Here is a 7,439-nt window from a genome sequence, read left to right on the forward strand (position 1 = left end):
CTGGTCTTGTAGCAAACTCCCATCATATGGAGGACCCTTGTCCCTTCAACCAGGGCTCTCCTGGTAGGTTCATGACTTCATGTCTTTGACCTCCACTGGCTGGGAGGCTCATGGGGGCAGGGGAGTCATTGCCTATGGTGCATGCAGTAGATGCTCTGCTAATACTGTACTCTTTAGGGTAAGTGGAGGGTAGAGAAAGGTTTCTCAGTTCTGCCTTAATTCAAGAGTGCCCCAGGCAATAAACTGTTGCTTGTTCTTATAGAATGGCAGTTGCTTTGGACAAATGTTTTGGAAGATTTTTGGAACTCCAGAGTACTGCAGAGAGTACTTTCAGACAAGGTTGTCGATTGGAAAAGAAACTGAAAAGGGCCTGGACCAGGCTGGGCTGGACACATAATATATCCACAATATCCTGGACTGAACTTGAGCCATTGTGTATTTATGTAATTGTCCTGCTGTTGGCAAAGGGCAAGTCCAAGCCTGAGGAGTGGGGTAGATTCCACTGAAGAAATGTTCCCATGCCAGTCATCTTGGGAGGAAGTTTGTCCTGGGGTAGAAATTGAGAACTCAAGATGTGGACCTTTGGGGTGAGAAAGAAGTGTGTTCTCTCTCTCTCTCTCTCTCTCTCTCTCAACAAAGTTGGGTCTGCCCTACAAGGGAAGACATGTTCCAGGCAACCTGAGAGAAGGAGCTGGGCTGGACCCTGCTGATGGGGAACAAGCTGGGGCTGAACAGCTAGGTGGTCCTATGAGATTATCTGGGTACCAACCTGGGCTCTGATAAAATCCACATTGGTCACTGTGTTGAGTATGTATTTCTTTGTATTTTATTCTTCTTCCATGGTGCCCAAATTTAATCAGCTCCTGCTAGACACTGCATCTGGTTTCTGTTGAGTATGATGCACTGAGGGGAAGGCTCTGGCCATGCTTGGGGCTGAGTGGCCACCATACCTGGCCTGAACATTTTAATAGAACTTTTCACTTTACAAAACAATATCCCACTCAGAATGCTGGGCTCGGTGCAGGGACAGACAAGCTCAGCAGTGTGGGAAATCGCAGCAGGTGTGCAGACTAAGGAAGCTGGAGGGGGAGAACATAAGGGCAAGTTCTGGGGCAGTGGTAACTTAGCACCTGGGGCCTCTCCAAAATAGCTAGGGATGGTCCTGCAGGGACTGAGTTCCTATGTGGGCCAGTAGGGTTCAAAGGAAATTGTAGCTTGAGCATTAAATGGAGATAAGGCAGTTTATTTTCATTGGCTGGGGAGGCCTGAACATAGTTGTTCTATTAGATGTTGTGGTAGTAAAAATAGATAACAGCAATAATCTAGTATGTCAACATGTGAGGTTTTTTTGTTTTTTTGAGACAGGATCTTGCTCTGTTGCCCAGGCTTGAGTGCAGTGGTGCATTACAGCTCACATAATGCTTGAACTCCAAGGCTAAAAGCAATCCTCTCACCTCAGCCTCCTGAGTAGCTGGGACTACAAGTGTGCCCCATCATGCCCGGCTAATTTTTGTGTTTTTTGTACAGATGGGATCTCATAATGTTGCCTAAACTGGTCTTGAACTCCTGGGCTCAAGTGATCCTCCTACCTCTGCCTCCCAAAGTGCTGTGATTACAAGTGTGAGCCACCATGTCTGGCCTCAACATTTTAATAGAACGTTTCACTTTTACAAAACAGTTTCCTATATATCCATTTCTAGTTGATCCTCAAAATAATCTTATATGTAGAACAGGCATTAGATTGCTAATTGTTCTTATTAGTTACAAGGTTAAACTATATGAAATTGCCATATTAATAAGTCAAACACTGTTAAATGTAAGCAACTTTGTATGGTTTATCCTCATTACATAAATCATAACTATTATAAATAACAATAATAGTGTCTTAGTCCATTTTGTGTTGCTGTAACAGAATACCATAGACTGGGTAATTTATTTTAAAAAGAGATTTATTTCTTACAGTTCTAGAGGCTGGGAAGTCTAAGATCAAGGGACTTGCATCTGGCAAGGGCCTTCATGCTGTGTCATCCTGTGGCAGAAGATGGAAGGGCAAGAGAGCCTGAGAGAGCAAGAGGGGACGAAGGCCAAACTCATTCCTTTTATCAAAAAACAAACTCCTGAGATCATGAACCCACTCCTTCAATAGTGGCATTAATCCATTCATGAGGGCAGAGCCCACATGACATATCACCTCTTTTTCTTTTTTTCCTGGAGACATGACTCACTGTGTTGCCCAGACTGAAGTGCGGCGGTGCAATCATAGCTCACTGCAGGCTTGACCTCCCAGGCTCAAGTGATCCTCCCACCTCCTTAGTAGCTGGGACTTCAGGCATGCACCAGCACACCCAGCTGTTTTTTTTTAAATTATTTTTTGTAGATACAGGGTCTCCATATGTTGCCTAGGCTGGTCTTGAACTCCCAGGCTCTCAAGCAGTCCTCCCACCTTGGCCTCCCAAAGTGCTGGAATTACAGGCATGAGCTATCATGCCTGGCCACTAATCACCTCTTAAAGGTCTAACCTCTCAAAACTGCTGCATTGGGGATTGAGTTTTCAACACATGAACTTTGAGGGACACATTCAAGCCATATCATGTAGGAACTTAAAAAATATGTACCTGGCATATTGCTAAGCTCTCTTCACACATTTTATCTCATTCAGAGATGCATATTCTAGTGGATATAGCAATGTTCCTTTCAGATTCCTCTTCAGAGCCCACACACTCATTCCCAGCTGCTGGGAATATTGGCTACTTCCCTCACTGGGAATTGCCCTTGGCCACAAGTCACTGCTTCCACCAAGGTGATGCCCAGACCCCAAGGGTAGTCATTAGGCTGTGACTGGCTGACGTGAGGATATAAAGCCTGGGCCCCTTGCCTCAATTTGGGACCCTCTGAAGGGCCATGTGGCTCAGAGCTCCCTGTAGGATTGGCTCTTCCTGGTTGCAACCACATTGGGGGTCATCTTCTCCCTCTTCTCAATCCTGCCCTCTCACTTACGTACAGGTGTATCTCCCAAAATTACTGCCTAAGAAACCTTCTGCAGACAGAAACCACCTCCATCTCAGAGTCTGCTTCCAGGGAACCCAAACTTAGGACAGTTGGTGTCAGAGGGGTTCAAGGTGGCAGACTCTAAAGTGGGAGTTTGGAGAGGGATCACTTGCTAGTCAGCTCTCCATGAACTGGTATAGGAGTGGTAAGGATAGTCCCTGCCATGCTGTAACTGCATGATGGCTAAAACTTGCATTTCTGGTGAACTGGGGCGTGATGGGATGCAGAAAATGCTGCTTCAAATAATAACACCTTGGAAATTGAGAAAATAGTAGAAACAGGAAGGCTACTCTCACCTTCCCCTCTACCTTCTTCCCTGAAGCAAGGCCATAAAACTTAGGAAGGTGACAATCTGACCTTCTCCCACCCTTCTCTCCTGAAAACCCTCAGGTGACAGGTGTCCTGCCCTATACCTTGAGGGAATGTCACACAAGAACGGACAAGAGTCTAAACAAAGAGGCCTTGTGAAGATCCCCCTCTGCAGTTTATCACTATTAGATCATCTCCCCTTTGTCCCATTAGACTTCTGCAGGACTGTTCATTCTTCATCAAAGCCAAGCATAAGGATACACAGGTTTCCCTGTTTCTTTGAGTCTTCATTTCTGAAGGCTCCTGTGTCATGTAAAACTAATATTAAATACATATGTATGCTTTTCTCTTGTTAACCTGTCTTTTGCTACAGAGTCTCAGCCAAGAACCTAGCAATGAGTAGGAAGATAAATCTTTTCTCCCCTACATATGGTATATGGGTGGAAGGGGTCACACTCATTGGTGTAGTATCTCTGGCAACTGGGGGCCGTAGTGACTATAAGGACTATGGAAATGAATGACCATTGCTGAGTCCATTTACTTGCTAAAGAGACTTAATGATAGCCTCAGAGTGAATAATCACCAAGGTAAAATGTTAAAGCCAGATGGCCTCCTGGGCAACTGTTAAGGAAATCCCTCCTGCAAAGGGAGGATCAGGCATAGGATTTAATGTTAAAAATAGCAGAGCTTTGGAGAAGGTTTGATTTTTCAGCCCTGACAGGCCTCCAATGCCAGGGTCAGAGCCATAATAGGTGAGGACTGGGAACCTGAGACTTGGGTTGGGGATATATGAGTAGATGCAGTCAAGCACCTTGAATTCTCAGGTCCTTCTGAACCCACTGGGTTTGCAGAAGTGACACACTTCTTGTTGGCAAACAGTGGTGCCCCTTATTTGAAGATTGCACTAGTCTGTTCTCACATTGCTATAAAGAACTACCCAAGACTGGGTAATTTACGAAGAAAAGAGGTTTAATTGGCTCACAGTTCCACAGGCTGTACAGGTCTGGGAGGCCTCAGGAAACTTACAATCATGGCAGAAGGTGAAGGGGAAGCTGGCATGTCCTACATGACTGGAGCAGGAAGAAGAAAAAGACGGGGGAGGTGCTACACACTGTCAACCAGAACTCGTGAGAACTCACTCACTATCATGAGAACAGTAAGGGGAAATCTGCCCCCATGATCAAATCACCTCCCATTAGGCTCCTTCCCTAACACTGGGGATTACAATTCAACATGAGATTTGGGTGGGGATGCAGAGCCAAACTATATCAAAGATCATACAAGGTTTCCAGTGAGGCAGGTGCCCTACATGAGAATGCTTGTCCTCCTCAGAACCCAACTTTACTTCCTTCCTGGCGATCTAATAAAAGTTAAATCCCAGCTGTGCTGAGCATGCTAAGGGAGGAGAGGCACTATATGCTGCAGGAGCCACAGGATCTAGCTAATACATTTAAGCAAGCACTGTGCACAGAACAGGGTCCTGAGTAGGCTGGATCAAGAGGGGAGGAAGGTAAAGGTGGATAAGAGCAGGTGTTAATATGGGAGTACTCTCCATGATACAGAACTTAACACTCTGGCAAGGAACCCAGGGTAAGGGGGTGAACACACTTCAGAGATGGATTTTAGAAGCTTAGGAAAAGCAATGGTTCACACTAAGTAAAGTAGAAATATTAGAACTGCTGTGGCAGATAGGAGTTCAAGTCTTGGAGAAGTAGTCCAGGTATGGTGGCTCATGTCTGTAATCTCAGCACTTTGGGAGGCTGAGGTGGGCGGATCACTTGAGGACAGGAGTTGGAGACCAGCCTGGACAACATGGCAAAACCCGTCTCTACTAAAAAATACAAAAAAAAATTAGCCAGGTGGGGTGGCCTGTACCTGTAACCCCAACTACTCAGGAGTTTGAGGCAAGAGAATCACTTGAACCTGGGCCAGATTGTGCCACTGCACTCCAGTCTGGGCAACAGAGTGAGACTCTATCTCAAAAAAAAAAAAAAAAAAAAGAAAAAGTAAAAGTCTCAGACAAGTGGGCCTGCTAGAGTGTTTGCAGCACATAAAGCCAGAAAACCCATCAGCCAACTCTGTTCTGTGGGAGGCCCTGGAGAACACTCTATTTACTGAAGCAATAAGGAATGAGTCTGTGGGAGCTAGAGGTGGCACCAGCTTCACTGACAGTAGGAGGTGCTATTACAGAACTGGGCTCCCTGATGCCCATAGGTATGATAGAATCCCAAAATAACAGAGTTCAGGTGGTGGTGCTTGACCTTTAAACCAAGGTGACTGCAATTGCAATGAACAGCAAAATTGGATCCTGACCCACAGAGCACTATGGAGATGGCTAATAGAACACAGTGTTCCTAGAAGCAAGATAGATGGGTGGCCAACAGTGCATTGCTTAATTTAGACAGTCAAAAGAAATCAAGGATGGATGATCAGGGGGTTGAAAGCAGCCACCCCCAGTAATACATCATGATTTCTTATCCTGTTTCTGACCTGAGCCGTTGACTAAAGGAGAGGTTAGGTCTCTGTGAGGAAGGATCTGTAACATCATGGCAAATGTGTTCAGTAGTAATGCCCCAGTCCTTTCCTAAAACAATCTATGGCCATTTACTGTGTATCACCATGAGAAAGGGGGAATTCTGAGGGCTTTGAAGGACTATTAGCCATGGGGTCTAACTCAACACTGATATCTGGTGACCCAAAGTGCTTTTATATCCCTCCCTCCCATCAGAATGAGGGAGTATGGGTTCCAGGTGACAACGAAGCCGTGATCCTGCTCTAATTCACAGTGAGTCCAGTTGGGTGCGTCCACCAACCCACTGTGGTCCTATCCCTGATTCCTGAACGCTTCGGAATGGACATACATGGTAGTTGGTAGAACCCTAGCATTGATTCCTTGAGTCTCTAAAAGTGCCGACTCTCCTTTGCCATGATAGTAAATCAAATACAAGATTGTTTTTTATTCCAGGAGGAATGGCAGGAATTAGTTCCACCTTCAAAGATTAAGGAAATACAGGGATGGTGGTTTTTGTTGTATCCCCATTTAATTCACCAATCTGGTCCCTACAAAAATTGCATAATCATGGCGACTGAGAGTACACTCCCACAAACTTAACCAAGTAGTATCCCTACTTGTGGTTGTTGTGCTACACACGGCATCTTCCTGGAGCGGATGAATACACCCTCCAGATGCGGTACATGACCAATCATCTCCTTATTGCCTTCTTTTCTATCCCTATCAGAAAGGAGGATCAGAAGTAGCTCACATTCACACGGAGCAGACAATTAGATATATTTACATGTTGCCTCAGGGCCATGTTAATTTTGCTGCCTTTATCATAATGTCCAAAAGGACCTGGCCCATCTGGATTTTCCATGGAATATCTAATTAGTGCAGCATATCAATAACATCATGTTAATGAGACCAAATGAGCAAGAAATGACAAGTATATTAAAGACTGTGGCATGACACATTCACTCCAGAAGGTGGGAAATAACTCCTACCCAAATTTAGGGCCCAGACACATCACTGAAATGCATAAAGGTCTAGTGGTCTGGGCATAAAGGTAAAGGAGTGCTGGAGCTCTGAGGTAAAGAATGTAAAGAACAGGGCAACCCCCTCGGGTCCCCTTCCACGCTGTGGAAGCTTTGTTCTTTCACTCTCCACAATAAATCTTGCTGTTGCAAAACAAACAAACAAACAAAATGTAAAGAACAAATGGTGAGCCATCACATTTGTACATCAGTACAAGGATGGCATGAAATTTTCCTCCACAGCTGCAGCTGATACCACAGGGAGGCTGAGGGGATGTGATACAGGGCACTTGAAGTGTCTACTCTACCCCATTTTACAGATGAGAAACTAAGTCTCTGAGAGGTTAAATTGCTCAAAAACACAGTGCTGGCAAGTGGTCGATCTAAGGTTAAAATCCGGATCTGTCTGACTTGAAAGCCCATGTTCTTTAATACCTATATTGTACAGATAAGGAGGCTGGGAACAGAGAGATTAAGTGGCCTCTTGTTGCATCTTGGACTTTCTGGGAGGTAGATTCTGAGACAGATTGTCATGCAGGAAGTGTATTGGG

Source organism: Homo sapiens, chromosome 15, assembly GCF_000001405.40.
Source record: "Homo sapiens chromosome 15, GRCh38.p14 Primary Assembly".
In the NCBI taxonomy this organism is placed as follows: domain Eukaryota; kingdom Metazoa; phylum Chordata; class Mammalia; order Primates; family Hominidae; genus Homo; species Homo sapiens.